The sequence below is a fragment of the Homo sapiens genome, chromosome 3 (assembly GCF_000001405.40).
Source record: "Homo sapiens chromosome 3, GRCh38.p14 Primary Assembly".
In the NCBI taxonomy this organism is placed as follows: domain Eukaryota; kingdom Metazoa; phylum Chordata; class Mammalia; order Primates; family Hominidae; genus Homo; species Homo sapiens.
The window spans coordinates 70,414,652-70,435,394 of NC_000003.12; the positions used below are offsets into that span (position 1 = coordinate 70,414,652).

Below are 20,743 nucleotides of genomic sequence, written 5' to 3' on the forward strand. Positions count from 1 at the left end.
ACATTAGGTATTTAATGTGACCTTAGTTAGATCACGTAATCTTTCTGGATCTGTTTTCTCATTTGTAAAATGAACCTCATATAGTTCATTTATAAAATGGACCTCATCTAATTCATTTATAAAGTGAACCTCATCTACCTCATCTGACAACTTTTAGTATTAAAAGATGAAATCATTTAAATTGAAGTCTATGAAAATACTTACTTTTTCAAAGAAATTTCTAAAGTAAATATAATTTTTGGTTAAGAGCATTTTCAAATCAGTTAAAAATTCATGGTCCAAATGGCTGAAACTAAACAACCGCAACTTTATAGCAGAGGAGAAGAGGAGAGGAAAAAAGATCCATGCATATAGAGAAAAGCTGAAAAGAATTGGAAAGAGGGAGAGAAACTATAGCAATTACTGTCAACTGTAAAATGAGGGGGGGTCCCAAGGGGGAAAATACAGGAAATAACACCCCTGTTGACTTCTGCCAACAAGACCCCCTTCCATTGTGTAAAACAAAGGTGAGTGAAGTGTGGCTGGTAATATTTAAGATATTATGAATTCATTTTGTAGACAAAATTTAGACTGGGATGAGGACTCATCTGTCATCTTCGCATCTTCTGTCAAGCGCATGTTGCCCTTGGCAATGGGTCTGCTGTTACTAATTTTGTTTTTGTTTAGAAGCTTGCTTTTCCTCTTTGGTTCTCTGAGTTGCTGTGAATAAAAAAAAAATTTAATCACAAAGGAAAAATGTCTTTGATTGATTTCTGATGGTGGCTCTGACACCGTTGTACTTAATGTCGGTGCCAACCTGATTGTTTGATGTTTATTACATAGGTGAGTGGGAGGAGCTCCCCCTCCTTTTTTTGTTGCTGCTATTGTTATAAGACTGGATCTGGTTTTTAATCAGAGCTGGAGGGAAAAAGCAGTAGTTATTAGCCTGTGACAATTGGGAAGACCCAGTTTTGTTTTTAGGCTTTCAATATGGTAATATGTTCTAACAATTGTCAGGTGAGGTCAATCTCCTAATCAAATTTCAAATTTTCTTTAGCCTTGAAAAATTTTTAGATGCTCCTTTTGAGATATGGGATGCAATCTTTTGAAGAGTAACATTAGAATACTCCAATCCTGCCTGGAATTCTCCTAGCTAATTACCAAATGTTCTGAGCAAGAATCATGTTGTTAAATGTTGGACACCGAGCTACCCTTTAATTATGTAATCTTACAAATGACCTTTTAAAACAATCTTTTAGTTTACATTTCACATTTTTTTGCTGTTGAGTTTGGATTCTGTGTACAGCAAAATGTCTATCTCGTTCTCCTATCACTATTTTGATGTAAAGACAGAGGAAGATCTATTTTAAATTATTCATAAGCTTTAGATAGAAACCTAAGCAAATTAAAATGTAGGCCAATATAGAGGAGAATGATAATGGGCATATAAGTATTTGTAGCTACTGTAGCTTCCATTGGGACAATCATAAAATTAATTTCATACCTTGCACAGTAATTTCAATGGGAACAATTTCTCAGTTCGTGGTCAAACTTGTTTCCAACATTGATGGAGATGAGCACTAGAGAAAGTATTGAATTTTCTTTCTAATTAGCTTTTTCTTATGAAATAGCTTCTTAATAATTTCCCTTCATGTCCAGTACATAAAGGTATCTATTCCTTTTAAACTGTATGTGAATTTAATTTATATGCCAATGATGTTTAATGCATTGTCTTGTCTGCATCTCATTACTGTCATTAATAAGCGCTGGAGTACATCTAGTTACAAGGTTAATTGGGACAAATCCGGACTCTTTTTTACTGTAAATATGCTATATCTTAGCAGTGTATTACTCACGGATGGGTGGTAAAAATTATGGTATTTTACACTGCATTGCTCCTTCTGTTGTCAACCAAATCAATCTAAATACAATCTGGAGTGATTTTCTGCATACATTGTCTAAACTTTGGACAGAAATTTTGCTGTTGTTTTTTTAACCAGCCACATAATTTCATGGCTGATTTAAATATAATTGCAACTCATCTCTGTGGGATGTAGTCTCTCCTCTTCACCCCACCCTCATCTTAAACTGTTTAAAGGGATCTATATCACCAGCATGAACCCCTTTAAATTTAGTGAAATTTATAAGAATTTTCCATAAAAAAGAATAAGTATTTTAGTTGTAATGTTAGATATTACCCATGTACATTTCCACTGATTGTAGAAGCTAACAGGAGCTAATAGATTTTTTTCACTGTCCCTGGAGTAAGCCATTGCTCAGGGTCTCTGCATTTGAGAATGATACTCTATACCCAGGGCAGGAATAGAGAAAAACATCTGGCATAGACTCTACCCTCTTCCCCTCCAACTTCCATGACAGACATCACTAATCAGCTAAGACCGCTTTTCTGTTGAGCCCGGACCTCAGAATCATCTTCTACGCAATGTTCCAGGTGGAACATTGTGTAGAAGCCAACTGGAACAAAGCCTTCAGATAGCTTGGCACAGGAGTAAAACCCAACACGCTTTCCTGAATAGAGAAATTTTACCCCTCAGAGTATTTTACCCCTTTACCAATGTCAATCATCATTAGGTTTGGTCAGCCTACTGCCTAGAACCGTCATCAGTCAGGTAAAATTGACTTAGGTGTCATTTTAAATTGATATCATTCATTAACTTAAAGAGCCATAGACAGAACAAGATGTTAAACCATCCTTGTATGGAAGTGTTCCTTAAATTATCTTTCCCTAGGACAATGATCATGTGAGGCTATCTTATCCAACTTTCTCTGTACAATGGTACTTGGAATTTTTCTTTAATTTAGAGCTTTGATTTAGATTCTTCAGGACTTTTTGGTTCCAAGTGACAGATTTGAATTGGCTCAATTAAAAATGGAAATGTATTTCACCAGGCACTTAAAAAATCCAAGAATGATCAGAACTTCAGACATAGGTGGATCCAGGAGCTCAGCTACGAGTATCATCTTTCCTCCTCTCTGTGTCTTTCTCTACTACTTTCTCTGAGTTAGCTTCCTTTTAAAGAAGCTTATTTTTTTTTGTGGTCCCAAAGACCCAGTAACTCAAGGTCTTCATGATTATAGACACTTTGATCATGGAAAGAGAGAGATTCTGTCTCTCTCCTACAAAAGGATTCTGATTGGCTCTTCTTGATCACAGACCCACTCCCAGGTTACAGGTCACCTGGGTTAAAGCCAGGCTGGGTCTTATGCCCCTTCTTTATATTGCAAGTCCTGAAAGGCATGTGGTGAACAGCTCCCTCATCCTGATGGGGTAGGGTCAAAACTCAGAAGAAATAGACGCTTTGCTAGCCACAAGAAGAGGGAAGAGACACTGTGGGAGCTTTGCCTCATTTTGTGAATCCAGGTTAGGTCATCCCTGAAGTTTCTGTCCCAGGACCTCAGCACCAGAGTGGCCACATTATTGGATCAATAATCTGACCACTAATCTCAAGTATTTCTGTCTTTGATCATGCTGACTAGTGTTGACTTCTGAAGGAGCCTCTACTTTTCCCTTTCAGAAGGAGCAGGGAACAAATTTCAGAGGAGCAGTGTACAATGAAGATAGTTTCCTCCCATAAGTAACGTAATGTCTGTTCAAGCCCAATCCACCTAATATTGAAAAACTTAATCTAGAAAACTCCAGGTAAACAAAGTCACCTTTGTGTATTCACCACTTCAGGTTACTCTCTGTTCATTTTAAATTTCTCCTCTTCTTCCTCCTTTTTCCTAGGGTGGTCAGGTACTTATGTATTATCTCGGAATGGGGTGGATGTCAGGGCATCTGTCTTCTGGCTCAGCTTGCTTACTCTTGCCTTTGCTGAAATCCAGCCCATCCTGAGTTTCCAGTATAAATACCCTGCCATCCTGGCATTGGCTGCGGCATCTGCACATCCCAATGGCATTGATGGACAGTCTGCCACTTTATCTTCTCCCATTAGACACTACAATTCCAACAGTCATCTCTCAGCCAATGTCTCTGTCACCCTCAGGAGATGGGGAAATTCAGCTCCTCTTCCAGCCACCTGCCCACTCCTCCTTTTAGGGTTTTAACCTAGAAAAAGGGCAGAGTACAAGCCCATTCTCTGAAACCCAGCAGTGTATAATTCTCTTCCTTTCTTTTCAATTGTTCCTCTCTGTTCCAGACAAGCCTTATCTGGGAAAGAGGTAGTGAGCTATCATTCTTCTCTTAATTGCAAGTCAAAAATATTATCTTTTTTGAATATCAGAAGGCTCTAATGGAACTCAAAATCCAAGGGTTTGATGTTTGCTTTCTTTCCTTTCCTTTCCTTTCCTTTCCTTTCCTTTCCTTTCCTTTCCTTTCCTTCCTTCCTTCTCTCTCTCTCTCTCTCTCTCTTTCTTTCTTTCTTTCCTTCTTTCTTTCTTTCTTCTTTCTTTCACAGGGATCTCACTCTTTCACCCAGGCTGGAGTGCAGTGGCATGATCTCTGCTCACTGCAATCTCTGCCTCCTAGTGTTAAACGACCTTCCCGCCTCAGCCTCCTGAGTAACTGGGACTACAGGTGTTTGCCACCACGCATGGCTAATTATTGCGTTTTTTTTTCTTTTGAAGAGATAGGGTTTTGCCATGTGGCCCAGGCTGGTCTCGAACTCCTGGGCTCAGGCGATCCACCCGCCTCAGCCTGCCAAAGTGCTGAGATTACAGACATGAGCCACTGCGCCTGGCCAGATTTGATGTTTTCTTTGGACTATTTAATTTCTCCATTAAGTCAATGATGTTATGCATGGGGGGAAGAGGTCTCACTTAAGACCTCCAAATTTTATCCTCCTGCATAGTTATTGTTCCCAAATGGTTCCCTTTATGTTTGATCAGTCTTTGAGGTAAGTTCTGTGATTAGATATTTCTATATCTGCTAATACAACACTGATTGGAATGAGGGCTTGAGAAAGTCAATTCCAGGGCATAGGTTATCTAAGAAATAAAAACAGACTCCCAAACATGTGGAAACCCCACTACAATTATGCTATCTGAAAATGGTTTGTTTGTTTTTGAGACTGAGTCCCGCTCTGTCACCCAGGCTGAAGTGTAGTGGTGCAATTTCGGCTCACTGCAAGCTCCGCCTCCCGGGTTCACGCCATTCTCCTGCCTCAGCCTCCCGAGTAGCTGAGACTACGGGTGCCTGCCACCACACCCGGCTAATTTTTTATATTTTCAGTAGAGATGGGGTTTCACCGTGTTAGCCAGGATGGTCTCGATCTCCTGACCTCGTGATCTTCCTGCCTTGGCCTCCCAAAGTGCTGGGATTACAGGCATGAGCCACCACGCCCAGCAAAATAGTTTTATACATAGAGTTTTTTGTCTTGGTTAATTGACATATTCTTCATTGAAGAAAAGGATTAACAATTTCCCAAAAACTCTTTGAGAGATAAGCAGGTAAGGCTGAAGAGAGGCATGGACTGTGTGAAGAGCCTTCCTGGTGAAAGGTCCCTGAATTTTCTGGCTCAGTGTCCATGTCCTTGGATAGTAGAGGTGAATTTACTTATAATAAACTGGTAATAGAACTATTAGCTGTCTCACAGGTCCTCTTAGGTACCTGGTGGGTTTTCTTGTATTTATAATTTCATGGCTCTTTCCACTGAGTGTCATGGAACTCATTAAGCCCAAACCAGGAAAATCATACATGTAGTTGCTTCCAAACTCACCACAAAGTCAAAGGAGCTCACATTTTCAAGAGAAAGAAAAATTTGTTTTCAGAAATGTGCTGGTAGCTCATGGTACCATAATATGATTCTGCTCTGAATAAAATGGGGAAAGTGACTGTCTCATAGTGTCTATTTTCCAAGAATTAATGTACGAGAACCACTATCATCATAAAATACCATTAATAGTAAATACTGTACAGTTGAGTATAATATGCACTTATTTCAATTTACATGCAATCTTAATGATTAGAAAAAACAGACTTTTCCTAAAGGGTATTTGAACATCTCTGACCTAGTAATATTGTAGTTAACTTGCTTGGGCTTTTTATTTTGATGGGATTATTATTCCTGCTTGCATTTAGGATACAGTTTGAATGCTCTAGATTCAGAGATAAAATCCAGGAGGAGATTGTGGGAAGTTGGACAGAGATTGTTGGTTTATTTTCCTCATTGAGCAAAGATGCTAACATTTCTCCCAATGTATTTGAGCTGAAAGTATACAAGATTAAGTGTAGGTGTATGCCAGTGATGGAGAACCTAGAACAAGGATCATAAATTCGAAAGTGTAGAGTGGCTCTACAGATAACCTAAAAGCATGAACAGAGCCAGATGTAAGATAACAGTTTTGCTTTATTTTTTTTTTATTCTGTGCATGCCAATTTATTGCTGTCTAAATTATGAAAAGTGTTAAAATATTTAGAGAAATAATAACTACAACTTTCATTTATGTCTAAAGGCCCCAGGATTATATACATATAATTCCATCTCATTTAATTTTTTCAGTCTTTCCTCCCCTAAACAAGAAAAGATCTTCCAAAGAAATGGGCAAAGTTACTTGCTCAGTTACAGTTAGTAAAGGCATTTCTTAGTATAATATAAGTGTCTTTTTTATGCTAGCTATGCTAGCTGACTCTCGGCATAAGGAAAAACAATAAAAAACAAAAAGCTGCATATGCTGAAATTTAAAAAATTGTATTCATCTGACAAACAGCTTTAGATCTGGAAATACATTTCATGAGTAACTTATAGATAGGCTATAATTATTTGATAATTAATGCTCTCAAATTAATCCCTTTCCTAAAGAACCTCTAGTGGTTCTTATGCTCCAATTGATATAGAAAAGCTAGATCTTAGGAGGATTTCTTTCTAAATTCAGAGAATGTTCATCCATGCAGGCTTCCAAGAGCCTACAAATAAAATCTAATCAGGTCTGAAAGCAATCAGGTCCAGCCAATCAGAAATCGAGCTGTGGGGCAGAAAATCAGAATTTAAATAAAAGTTGCAATTAGAACCCACAGAACTGGCATGACACTCGTTTAAGTTCTTAGTGCTCAGAGACAGTATGAAAATTATCTCCACAGTAGGAATAAGAAGCGCTGGTGAAGATTTTTGCCTCCTGATAGAATATTGAAAATTATCTTCATCAGTGGGTTAATTGGCTTAATTTTCCTTCAGATGGTAACTTTCAAATGCTTGGTCTTAATTAGCATGGGTAAATGAGAAATGTAGGTGATTCACACTTTTCAGTTTTCTTGTGCCCTAGAGATTTCCATTCCTTTCCCTTAAGATATTTGAAATGGCTGAGGGCTACGTTGATTAAAATAAATTAGGCTGGTATTTTATACCAGTGAAAATGTAGATGGAATTGACTAATGTCTGGTCCATTAAAAAATGCAACCCACAAGTAACATGAAGGTGAGAGATAGTGTGAACTACTTACGAGGAACCTTGTATTTACTGTGCTAAAAATTTTAAGACCATAATTTTTCAATATTTTGTTAGATGAGGTATGATGTTCAACTAAGAATGGTAAAAAAAAAATCAGAGGCACTTTACATATTTAATAAGAGGTGTATATGGGAAAATGAATATTAAAAGAGAGGACAGAGGCATAAAATGAAAAAAATTGTTATTCTTAGGTGATTTTCTTCAAGTCTGTTTTACTCCATAACTCCCCCACCAACTTCACCTTCACCTCTAACAAAGAGTTGAAATCAGCATCAAATATTTTGTTTTTAGAATCTAAGAAGAGTGTTATGTTTATTAACTAACGTACATTAGGTAATTTCTTTGCTTTTACCATATTAATATTTTATTATAAACAACGTATTACTTGTCTCTGATTTAAAAAAATCTTTCAGATAATGAAATTTGAACTAGAATACTACTATAGTACGTTGTGAGTTACTTGGCACTAATTTATTGTGTAATACTGCCTGAATTCAAAAAAATCAAATTGTATCCACATTGTACTGTGCACCTTGTATAGTTTTGTAAACATCTAAAAAAATTAAGACTTTCTCATTTTTTTCTGTTAGATTCACCTATGAAAACCCTAGTAAGGGTCATCATAAAGCCAAGAATTTAAGAAAGTTTAAAACTGAAACAATTTTTGAAATTTAGTTAATACAGTGCAGAATGTAGTGTTTTTCTTCTGGTGGCACCCATATAAATAAAAAAAAGCACCAAAATGATACTCATTTTCTAAAATTACATGTAAAAGCAAGCAACTGCAATGATATCTTTGAAAATAATATGCACCTGGAGTCAAAATATAGTAAAATCATCTAATATGATTATCTCATTGATACTCAGATTTTAACACATCCTTGGGTAAACCATATTATAATAAAAATTTTAATAAAATGTATGTTTTGTATATTTATAATAAAATTCACAGAGTCACTTATAATGAAGTTGTAAAAAACATTAGGGGCAGGGAAAGGATATATCATTACATGAAAAAAACAAGTTACCAAAATTATATACATAATGTTTACTAAAAATTGCTTGTTTAATAAATAGATATGTGTACATGAAAAAGGGGAGAAGCACAGACTGAGAAAGATGAGACAAATAGTAAGAAAGAGCCAGAAAGGGAATAAACTGATACTTACATGTTAACAATGTTACCAGTGGGGCTGGGGATTACAAGTATATTTTGTATTCTTTGTGCTTTTCTGTAATTTACAAATTTTCTAGAACAAATGTGTTTCCTTTTAAATCAGGTAAAATGTTGTAAGAATGGTCCCTTTCTTTGCCTTTTCTTGGAGGAATAGAATCAAGGTGGTTTTATTACCTGTAAGAATTTTGATTCTAGAAATATTGCTGCATTCTTCCAGGTAGGCATGCCAAGCACTTAGGCATGGAGATCACATTTTACCTTCTACCTAATAGCGTCTGCGTTTCCAGATTGCTCCCCAAATAAAAACAAGCATTGAACTTCCAATCAGTGATGATAATTTAATTTCTCTCTCAGCTATAAGTACCAGAAAACAGTCAGGCAATCAGTGAGAAAAAACGTGTTCTCCTGGTTTATTTTTACATTAAGTAATTAACATTTTCCTCTTTAACTAACATGAGGTCTAAAAAGTATAGGCTCAGCTGACCTAATTGTGTAGGACTTCTTGGAACTCTGTATGTTTGGGGGTTAGGAAGAACAGAATGGAGGAGTGAGGTCTTTAAATAAAACCTGGAAATGTTTATAAGTGTTCTTCATAATACAGAAACTCTAAGACTGATTTGTGTCATAAAATAATGTCAACAATTTGGAAATGGGCAAAAGAGATTACTAGGTATCTTCAGTGGAGTGTGGGTCATCGTTTAGCAGATCTTTCTGGTCTGGAATTATCAGATTCTACAGGGATGTGCACCTTTGTTGGTCTATTGTCTAGGTGATTTTATAACTCTATAGTGATAGAAGTTAAGTAGCAATCATTTTTTATCATAATGAAGCAAATTAATTTTGTCCAGTAGAGATACAATTGATTTCCATTGTGTAGAAAAGATTACCTTAAATGATGTCAATATTCAAAACTCTATGTACATGTTTGTGTGGCTTTTTTAAACTGAAAATCTCCTTTGAATAAGTTTTAATATTCCACTGGTTATCTCATTAATTAATTAAATACTTCTTGATTCATATTAATTTCTCACTTACATAAAAGCTATGTGCTTAATTTTTTGAAAAATTATCTTAATAACTGAAATATATTATATTGGGGTTATAACATGCAGATCAGAGCCAAAGTGATCCACAGAACTCTGGTGTTCTATAGAGGTAATTTAGGAATCTTTAAAATATTTAATTTGGATTTCACTTTTAAACACATTTTTACACATTTTTTCAAATGATAATGAAAAACAACAAATGTACTAAAATATGTTAAATACCAAGTTTTTTTTTAATTTCACACTGGATGACACTGACACATTAACTGTGGTTTCCATTGAATGACTTTATAACATGTAAAAATTATGGATTTGAGACCATAAAATAAATCAATTCAAATAAAATACGGCTTTTATTTGCATAATGGAGTGATACATAAAAGGTCATTAAGAATATAAAAAATTCTACTTAAAAAAGGACTGTTCTAGATTAGGTTCACCTTTAATCACTGCAGATTCAATGTAGGTAAAGCAGGCTTTGTCTATTGACATTTTGATCTATAATTCTTTGTTGTAGGGAGCTGTCTTGTGCGTTGTAGGATGTTCAGCAGAATCCCTGGCTTCTACCCACTACATGCCAGTAGCACCCCCTCTCCAGTTGTGACAACTGCAAAATGTCTCCAGACATTGTACCTCGAGGGATAGAATTGCCCCCAGTTGAGAACAATGAAACTAAAAGGATGAAGAAGAAAGAGGAGGAGGAGGAGAAAAAGAAGGAGGGAGAGGAAGGGAAAAGCGGAAGAGAAAGAGAAGGAGAAGGAAGAGGAGGAAGAAGGGAGGAAGAAGAAAAGGGGAAGAAGTGGAAAGAGAAGAAGGAACATTTATAGGAGGCAATTTGACTTAACAGGGCACTATACTATGTGTCAAGCGATCAGTGTTCTGACCACTGTTTCCCAGTTTCTCCAATAAGCAATGATAATGTGTCACATCATTTAATTTCCTTGGTTCTCAGCTTTTTCATTTGTCGAATAAGAATATTAGACTTAATGATCTCAAATCTACTTTTTAGCATTGCTATTCTCTATTAGGTGGAGCACAAAAGAAATTGAACGAAGAAACTCCCTGATCTGCCTTCAAATTTTGCAAATATCCTCTCTTAACCAGCAGACTGACAACCTATTTCAAGTTGTCTATTTTTTTATTATTTATTTATTTATTTATTTATTTATTGAGTCGGAGTCTCACTCTGTCGCCCAGGCTGGAGTGCAGTGGCGTGATCTTGGCTCACTGCAAGATCCGCCTCCCAGGTTCACACCATTCTCCTGCCTCAGCCTCCCTAGTAGCTGGGACTACAGGTGCCCGCCACCACGCCCAGCTATTTTTTTTCTTTTTTTTAGTAGAGACGGGGTTTCACCATGTTAGCCAGGATGGTCTCGATCTACTGACCTCATGATCCGCCCGCCTCCCAAAGTGCTGGGATTACAGGCATGAGCCACCGTGCCCAAGTTGTCTATTTTCTACACAATGGATGGAAATGCCTGGGAATAATAATTTATTAATTATGGTAAAAGACTAAAAATTAGTTCCTTTTCTTTGAGACCCCTGTAAGGACTCAGGAAGAGTATCACTAAAATTTTGTTGCACATTATTTGAAAGGAAACATTTCTAGTAATTCTCTTGGGGCCACATGCAACAGAGATAAACATTTTTGAAGTTATCTTTTTACCATCTGCAGCCAAGGCTCTTAAAACTCAGTGATAGTGTCAGAAACCTATGTCATTCTAAATGTATAGCTCCTGTTGAAAACTTAACAGAAGCAATATTGATTGGAAGGAAAGACCCAGAAAAGGTAGCACATGTGATGTTTTCCTACTTAGTAACTGCTTCCTTAAACCTTCATAAATCACTCAGTAATCCAGTAATATTGAGTTCTTTTATTAAACATAAAATGACATGACAAATAATTAGAAACTTGGCAAGCCTATTGTTCTATGTCATCCAATAGGCTGTTTCTCAGGGCATCCTTTGATCCTGACCATTTGTCTGACAGTGAACAAACCAAATGTGACAGCTTGAATGAAGTTCCTGTCCCCAGATTCCTTAAACTCAACAGAGCATATATTTCATTAGAAACAATAGTATATTGCAAACAACCACTATGACTGAAGCAGAGATTGGAAGAGGAACTATAAACACTAAATCATTTTGAGGAGACAACCTATCCTGATCAAGAGTTTCTCCCATTGAAATGGTACTTCAAAGTATGCAAGGATTCCCGGGTTGAGGATTCTGCAGCACTTAAACTTTTACACTAAACATGAAAAAGTAGGGGATTTGGTTCTGGATTTTCTCCTGCTTCTTCCTCCTCCTCTTCTTCCTTCTCTTCTTCATTCTTCTTCCCCTAAACAAGAGTAGCAAGGTAGCCTGAAAATTCCTCTTCCTGTAATAGCCTTTCCAATATCAGAGTCATTTCCATGCCAGTAGACACAAGTTTTAGCCATTCCCAAACCAACACTGTCACAAGATAGTGGAGTTTTTTGTATGCTCTGAACAACATAGATCCCTTGTCTAGGATTATTGACATCTTTGAAGATTCAACTATAGAAAGGATGAAAGTTAAACTTTGAAAGAGAAAGTTGAACCTGCCTAGCATCTGGATCATACAGAAGCGTGCTCAGTCTGAGTTGAAAAACTGAGCTCATTTCTGGATCACTTTCACATTTAACATTTCTTAAATAAGCTCTACTTAGGTTGTCCAAGGTAATTAGAGAATAAAATGTTACTTTTGTTTAAAAGGCATATACAATAAAGATATTGATAGTTTGTGAATAGTTTAAATTCTTCAGAAAGTCACTCCATCATTCACTCAATCTGCCCTCAGTTTAAGACAAGAATGAATATTGTGACTCATGTAGTTAATTTTAAAATGTGATCAGATTTAAGAGATGGGTTGGGAAAGCCTGCTAACATTCACATTTCTATTAAGGTGACACAGCATACAACATCTGCAACGGTAGACAGGATTTTCTACATTCAGAGTTGATCTTCTAGGCATTCATTGTTGTAGTCATCTGCTCATTCAATTGTTCAATTGTGTTTTGTTAGTAGTTTCTACTAACTGATACTTGTATAGAATTTTAAGGTTTATAAGGTGTATTTCTTCCATGTTATCTCACTTAGGCAAAAGCACTGAACTAAATGTTCTGGTAATACCATGAGGATTACCTAAAAGGTGATCCTCTTAAAAATGTCCAAAAGGGCCGGGCGCGGTGGCTCACGCCTGTAATCCCAGCACTTTGGGAGGCTGAGATGGGCGGATCACGAGGTCAGGAGATCGAGACCATCCTGGCTGACACGGTGAAACCCCGTCTCTACTAAAAATACAAAAATTAGCCGGGCATGGTGGCGCGCGCCTGTAGTCCCAGCTACTTGGGAGGCTGAGGCAGGAGAATGGCATGAACCCGGGAGGCGGAGCTTGCAGTGAGTCGAGATCGCGCCACTGCGCTCCAGCCTGGGCGACAGAGCGAAACTCCGTCTCAAAAAAAAAAAAAAAAAAATGTCCAAAAGATCTCTCTAATTAGTGCAAATTGTAATGGCCTGCCATTGGAAATAGTTGCGGAGTCTCTTGCTTTCAGTGTTAATTAACTTCAAGGAAATCTTTATCAACTGACATGGAATCTTAGATTTTTGGAAGATTGAAGGATATAATATTAATATTTAGAACCAGTTGTATTTCTATATACTAACAATGGACAGTCAGGAAATGAAATTCTAAATAAATAATTTTATGTTAGTTACAATAGTACAAAATATATTAAAATACTGTAGCGTAAAGTTGGCAAAATATGTGAGAAGCCATCACATTGAAAACTATAAAATACTGCGGAAAGAAATTAAAGAAAATTTAAAGGAATGAAGATATATATTTTGGCTCATGAGTCAGAAAACTCAATAATGTTAAGAAATCAATTCTCTCCAAATTGATCTAAAGATTGGATGCAATCCATTTATAATGTTAACAGACTTTTTGTAGAAATTGAAAAATTAATTATAAAATTCACATGGAAATGCAAACGGCCTAGAATAGCCAAAAAAATTTTTTTGAAGAAGAAAGAGTTAGAAGGCTAATACTACCCGATTTCAAGAATCAATAATCAAAATGTTATAGAATTGGCTTCAAGATAGACATGTAAAACAATAGAAAATAATAAAGTCCACAAATACATGCACATTTAGATAAATTACTGATTTCTGATAACGGAGCAAAGACAATGCAGTGGGAAAAGTGCTTTGGCAAATGATACTGAAACAATGGGATATCTATATATAAAAAAGAACTTGGAATCCAATGACTAATGCTAATGCGAGTGTTGTATTCTAAAAATGTGATTTCTTTCTTCTGACTTTGGTATCTTATATAGGACGCTAGCATAGAATTTTGTGAAGGATTTGAAATGTCCAAAATATCTCTCTAATTAGTGCAAATTATAAAGTCCTGGCATTGGAAATAGTTGTGGAGTGTATCTCTAAACAGTGATCTATCTAAAAGTGGGTTTATTTGTGTACTTGATTGTTTTTTATTGATTTATATGTCTATCTTGAAGCCAATTCTGTAACTATTTTGTTATCTTTCTTCCAATGATGATTCATTCACTCAGCAAATACTTACTCAGTAATTATACAATGTCAAAGACTGGAGCTACAGTGATGACTAGGTTAAAAAGATCATTGCCCTTATGGAACTTTAGATAGAATAAGTGATAGAAACATATTAATTAAGTCAATTTTGGCTTTAATTGCCATTGCTTTTGGTGTATTAGTCATGAAGTCTTTGCCCGTGCCTATGGCCTGAATGGTATTGCCTAGGTTTTCTTCTAAGGTTTTTTTTTATGGTTTTAGGTCTTACATTTAAGTCTTTAATCCATCTTGAGTTAATTTTTGTATAAGGTATAAGAAAGGGGTCCAGTTTCAGTTTTCTGCATATGGCTAGCCAGTTTTCCCAACACCATTTATTAAATAGGGAATTCTTTCTCCATTGCTTGTTTGTATCAGGATTCTCAAAGATCAGATGGTTGCAGATGTGTGGTGTTATTTCTGAGGCCTCTATTCTATTCCATTGGTCTATATATCTGTTTTGGTACCAGTACGATGTGGTTTTGGTTACCATAGCTTTGTAGTATATTTTGAAGTCAGGTAGCATGATGCCTCCAGCTTTGTTCTTTTTGCTTAGGATTGTCTTGGCTATACAGGCTCTTTTTTGGTTCCATATGAAATTTAAAGTAGTTTTTTTCTAATTCTATGAAGAAAGTCAGTGGTAGCTTGATGGGGATAGCATTGAATCTATAAATTACTTTGGGCAATATGGCCATTTTCATGATATTGATTCTTCCTATCCATGAGCATTCAATGTTTTACCATTTGTTTGTGTCCTCTCTTATTTCCTTCAGCAGTGGTTTGTAGTTCTCTTTGAAGAGGTCCTTCACATCCCTTGGAAGTTGGATTCCTAGGTATTTTATTCTCTTTGTAGCAATTGTGAATGGGAGTTCACTCATGATTTGGCTCTCTGTCTACTACTGGTGTATAGGAATGCTTGTGATTTTTTTGCACATTGATTTTTGTATCCTGAGACTTTGCTGAAGTTGCTTATAAGCTTAAGGAGATTTTGGGCTGAGACCATGGGGTTTTCTAAATATAAAATCATGTCATCTGCAAACAGAGACAACTTGAATTCCTTTCTTCCTATTTGAATACACTTTATTTGTTTATCTTGCCTGATTGCCCTGGCCAGAACTTCCAATACTATGTTGAATAGGAGTGGTGAGAGAGGGCATCCTTGTCTTGTGCCAGTTTTGAAGGGGAATGCTTCCAGCTTTTGCCCATTCAGTATGATATTGGATGTGGGTTTATCATAAATATCTCTTGTTATTTTGAGATACGTTCCATCAGTACCTAGTTTATTGAGAGTTTTTAGCATGAAGCGGTGTTGAATTTGATCGAAGGCCTTTTCTGCATCTATTGAGATAATCATGTGGTTTTTGTCACTGGTTCTGTTTATGTGATGGATTACGTTTATTGATTTGCAGATGTTCAACCAGCCTTGCATACCAGGGATGAAGCTGGCTTGATCGTGGTGAATAAGCTTTTTGATGTGCTGCTGGATTCGGTATGCCACTATCATCACAATGATAGTTATGTAATGAAAATTATAATACGTTCAACGGAAAATTACAAGTTGTTATGAGAGCATGTGACTTGAGATCAATCTAGTAGAAGGAGTAACATGGAGCAGTCTAGAAAGGTTTCTTTGAAAAAGAGACATTGAGCTTGAGGCCTGAATGGGAGTAGCCAGGAAAAGAGTATGCAGAAGACCATATCTGGAATCCCTGAGTTGGTGAAGCCAAAGAAGAAGCACAAACCTTAAATTATAGGCATCTAACTTTGAAATTACTCGAAGAAGCAATATTTTACCATTATTTTTACTATTGTTATCAGCACCAATCGAGTCTCTACCCACTGGGCATAAATTGAGACAAGATCAAGATATTTAAAAATATTTTTCAACCCATCAGATTAATCAAGAATTTGGTTGATGTATACTATAGGATATAGTTTAGCATTTGTGCCTCAATTGCAATATAGTTATAATTTATTCTCAGCCTTAGTTTTTATACATTTTCATTCTGAGAAAATTCCACCAGGATTTGGAAGATACCTTATTTAATTCAATACTGGGCTCTCATTCAGTTACTTTTTTTCACCTGAGAAATTAATATATTTCAACTATTCAGTGGTTGGATATGGAGAGATGATCACTGAATTTTCCTTCAAGCTCCTGGTTTCTTAGAGAATTATTTGGACACTCTGTTGAGTTATTATTTGATGGAAGGAGTAGAAATTCACTCAAAAAAGCTTACATGAGACCATAAAAACTTACGAGAGTATATGGAGGCCTCAGAAAAGCTCAAAATGCTTTCAACTTTGAAGAAATATCACTTTTCAGTGAAAATGGAGCCCTCACTAAGTTGTTTATTCTTTTTCTGTTTCAAATTTTACATTTTTAAGATAATAATAGTGGTAAAAATATAGCTTCTCTATAGAAGTTCATCAATTTCTCTAGTTTTGGGTGAAAAAGAAATCTGTGAGATCCTTTGTCAGGTATAACCTGTGTTTATGTCTGACACTTTAGAACACTGCATGGTTCTCTTCTGGGATATTTAGTTTTGTGTATATTAATATAGAATGAAACTCTCTCAGGATAGGAATCTCTAAAAGTAATAGAAATATAATAAAATATTTTAATCTGTCTCTAAAAAAATTAGTTTGGAAACAAAGGATTACCCTCATTGTACAGTAGAGTACATTTGAATTTATGTAAATATATTTTATTGTGCTGGCCTCTGGGCATTTTTATTCAGCTATAATTAACACACAATTCACAGATCTTAAGTCTTCCGTTTAATGATTTTTGACAATTGTATAAGCTCATATAATGATCACTCTAAACAAGATATAGAATATTTCCCAGAAAGTGTCCTCATGACCTTTTCCATCCAATTTCCCTTGTGAAATTATTATCTAATTTCTATCACAATGGATTAGTTATATATATTTGGATTTCATATAAATGGATCACACAGCATGTATTTTTCAGGTTCTGATTTCTTTCGCTTAACAAAATATTTTTGAGACTTTTGCATGACAAGCAGTTCATTCAACTTTTATTGCTGAGAAGTATTACATTTCAAACATATACCACAATGTATTTATTAACAAATTGAGCATATTTTGTTTCTGCTTTTTAACTATTAATAATAATGCTGCTATAAAGATGTACATGTAGGTCTTTGTATGAACATATGTTTTTATTCCAAACCACTGAGTAGGATTGCTTGGTCATCAGCTGAGAATGTTTATAAGAAACAGCCAAACCGAGGAATTTGTATCATTTTACATTTCCACCAGCAATGTATGAGAGTTCCAGTTTCTCTATATTCTCAACAATTTTTTTTTAATATTAGCCTTTCTTATGGATGTGAAGTGTTAACTCATTGTGGATTTTTTTCATGTACCTATTGACTGTTAATATCTCTTCTTTTGTGAGGTATATGTTAGTCCTTTCCTCCATGTTTATTAGGCCATCCATCTTTTATTAATTTTTAGGAGTTCTTTATATATCTAGATGCAATTCATTTGTCAAATATATATATATATATACTATCAAATGTATGTATTGTGTTTTCAATCTGTTGCCTGTTTACTCATTTTCTTAAGCTATCTCTTAATTAATAAACTATATTTTCATAGCAGTTTTAAGCTTAAAGAAAAATTGAGCAGAAAGTACAGAATGTTCCCATATAGATGCCCCCCACCTGCCACATCCTTACACAGTTTCTCCTATTTCTAACACCTTGTGTTAGTATGGTCCATTTGTTAAAACTGATGAGCCAATATTGATGCATTATTGTTAAATAAAGTTCATGGTTTACATTAGGGTTCATTCTTTGCACTGTACATTTGTAAGTTTTGACAAATGTACAATGACATGTGCCCACCATTACAGTATTATATAGAATGGTTTCACTGCCCTAAAAATACCCCGTGCTCCACCTATTCATCCCTCCCTCTTTCACCCAGAATCCCTCATAACCACTTATCTTTTTACTGTCTCTGTAGCTTTTGCCTTTTTCAGTATGTCATAAAGTTGGGATCATACAGTATGTAGTTTTTTCAGATTGACTTTTTTCATTCAGCAATATGCATTTAAGATTCCCCTATGTCTTTTAATGACTTGATAGCTTATTTCCTTTTATTACTGAATAATATACCATTATAGCTATATATTATACTACAGTTTGTCTGTCCATTCATCTATTGAAGGATATCTTAGCTACTTTCAATTATGAATAAAGCTGCTATAAACATCTGTGTGCACATTTCTATGTGGATATAAGTTTTCAACTCCTTTGGGCAAATACCAAGGAGCATATTTGCTGGATTATATAATAAGGGTATGTTTAGTTTGGTAAGAAGTTGCTAAGCTGTCTTCCAAAGTGGCTGTTTCATTTTGCATTCCTACAAGAAATGAGTAAGAGTTCCTGTTGCCTCACATCCTTGCTAGCATTTGATGTTAACAGTGTTTTGGATTTCAGTCATTCTAATAGGTGTGCACTGGTATTTTGTTTTGATTTGCAATTCCCTGATAGTATTCAATGGTGAGTAATATTTCATATGCTTTTTTGCTATCTGTATCTGCATTGTTGGCGGGGTGACTGTTTAGATCTTTTGCCTGTTTTTTAATCAGATTGTTTACTTTCTTGTTGTTGAGTTTTAAAAGTTCTTTTTATATTTTGGATACTTGTCCTTTATCAGATACATATTTGGAAAGATTTTTCCAAGTCTGTGCTTTGTCCTTTCATTCTAATAGCTGTCTTTTGCAGAGAAGTTTTAAAATTTTAATGAAGTATAATGTATCAGTTTTTTCTTTCATGGATTATGCTTTTCATATTGTATCTAAAAAAAATCAACAAACCCAAGGTCACCTAGATTTCCCCCCATGTTATGTAATAGTTTTATAGTTTTGCCTGTAAGTCTTGAGTTAATTTTGAGTTACTTTTTATGAAAGATGTAAGATCTGTGTCTAGATTCTTGGGATTTTTTTGGATGTAGATAGTTGATAGTTCCAGCACCATTTGTTGAAGCTCTGTCCTTTCTTCATTTAATACTTTGTTCCTTTGTCAAAGATCGGTTGACTATATTTATGCAGGTAAGCTACTAAGCTCCCTATTCTGTTCCATTCATCTGTTCATCTATTCTTTCACTAATACCACACTTTCTTGATTGACGTAGCTTTATAAGCAATTCTTGAAGCTGGGTTATAACCGTCCTCTGAATTTGTTGTCCTTCAATATTTGGGTCTATTGGCCTTTCCATGTAAACTTTAGAATCATTTGTTGATAGACACAAAATAATTTGCTTACATTTTGTTTGGGATTACATTGAATCTGTAGATCAGATTGGGAAAGACTGACATTTTGGCAATATTGAGACTTCTTATCCATATATATGGAGTATTTTTTCTTATATTTAGCTCTTTTTTATTTCCTTCATCAAAGTTTTATAGTTTTCCTCATAGAGATCTTAAATATACTTGTTAGATTTATATCTAAGTATTTAATTTTGTGTTAATATAAATGTTATGCTTTAAACTTCAAATTCTATGTGTTCATTATTGGCATATAAGAAAGCAATTGATTTTTGTACATTAATCTTATTCCCTGCAAACTTGCTGTAATCACTTATTAGTTCCAGGAAGTTTTTTGTTGATTGGGATTTTCTATATGTAGACAACTGTGTCATCTGTGAATAAAGACATTTTTTTTTCCTTCCCAAACTATGTATGTTTTATTTCCTTTCCTATCTTATTGGATCAGCCAGGACTTCTAGTACTATGTTAAATAAAATTGGTGAGAATTTCACTCGCGTCCATGTGAAGAGACCACCAAACAAGTTTTGTGTGAGCAATAAAGCTGTTTATTCCACCTGGGTGCAGGTGCGCTGAGTCCAAAAAGAGAGTCAGCAAAGGGAGATAGGGGTGGGGCCGTTTTATAAGATTTGCGTAGGTAAAGGAAAATTACAGTCAAAGGGGGGTTGTTCTCTGGCGGACAGGAGTGGGGGTCACAAGGTGCTCAGTAGGGGAGCTCTTGAGCCAGGATGAGCCAGGAGAAGGAATTTCACAAGACAATGTCATCAGTTAAGGCAGGAACAGGCCATTTTCACTTCTTTTGTGGGGGAATGTCATCAGTTAAGGCAGGAACCGGCCATATGGATGTGTATGTGCAGGTCACAGGGGATATGATGGCTTAGCTTGGGCTCAGTGGCCTGATATTCTTGTCTTCTTATATTAATAAGAAAAATAAAACAAAATAGTGGTAAAGTGTTGGGATGGCGAAAATTTTGGGGGATGGTATGGAGAGATAATGGGCGATGTTTCTCAGGGCTGCTTTGGGCAGGATTAGGGGCGGCGTGGGAACCTAGAGGGGGAGAGATTAAGCTGAAGGAAGATTTTGTGGTAAGGGGTGATTATTGTGGGGTGGTTAGAGAAACATTTGTCATGTAGAATTATTTGTGATGGCCTGGATATGGTTTTGTATGGAATGAAAAACTAAACGGAATAAGAGAAGGAGAAATACAGGTAT

The 20,743-nt window shown here is 35.7% G+C and overlaps 1 long non-coding RNA gene across 2 annotated transcripts in view; it reads left to right on the plus strand.

The window, feature by feature from the left end:
- SAMMSON (survival associated mitochondrial melanoma specific oncogenic non-coding RNA) overlaps positions 1-19,938 on the plus strand; it is a 435,002-nt gene extending 415,064 nt beyond the window's left edge. For both annotated transcript variants that reach the window (NR_186031.1, NR_186032.1), the window contains one exon: positions 15,632-19,938. This is a non-coding gene — a long non-coding RNA (survival associated mitochondrial melanoma specific oncogenic non-coding RNA). The remainder of the gene's footprint in view (positions 1-15,631) is intronic.
- Positions 19,939-20,743: the final 805 nt, after the last annotated feature.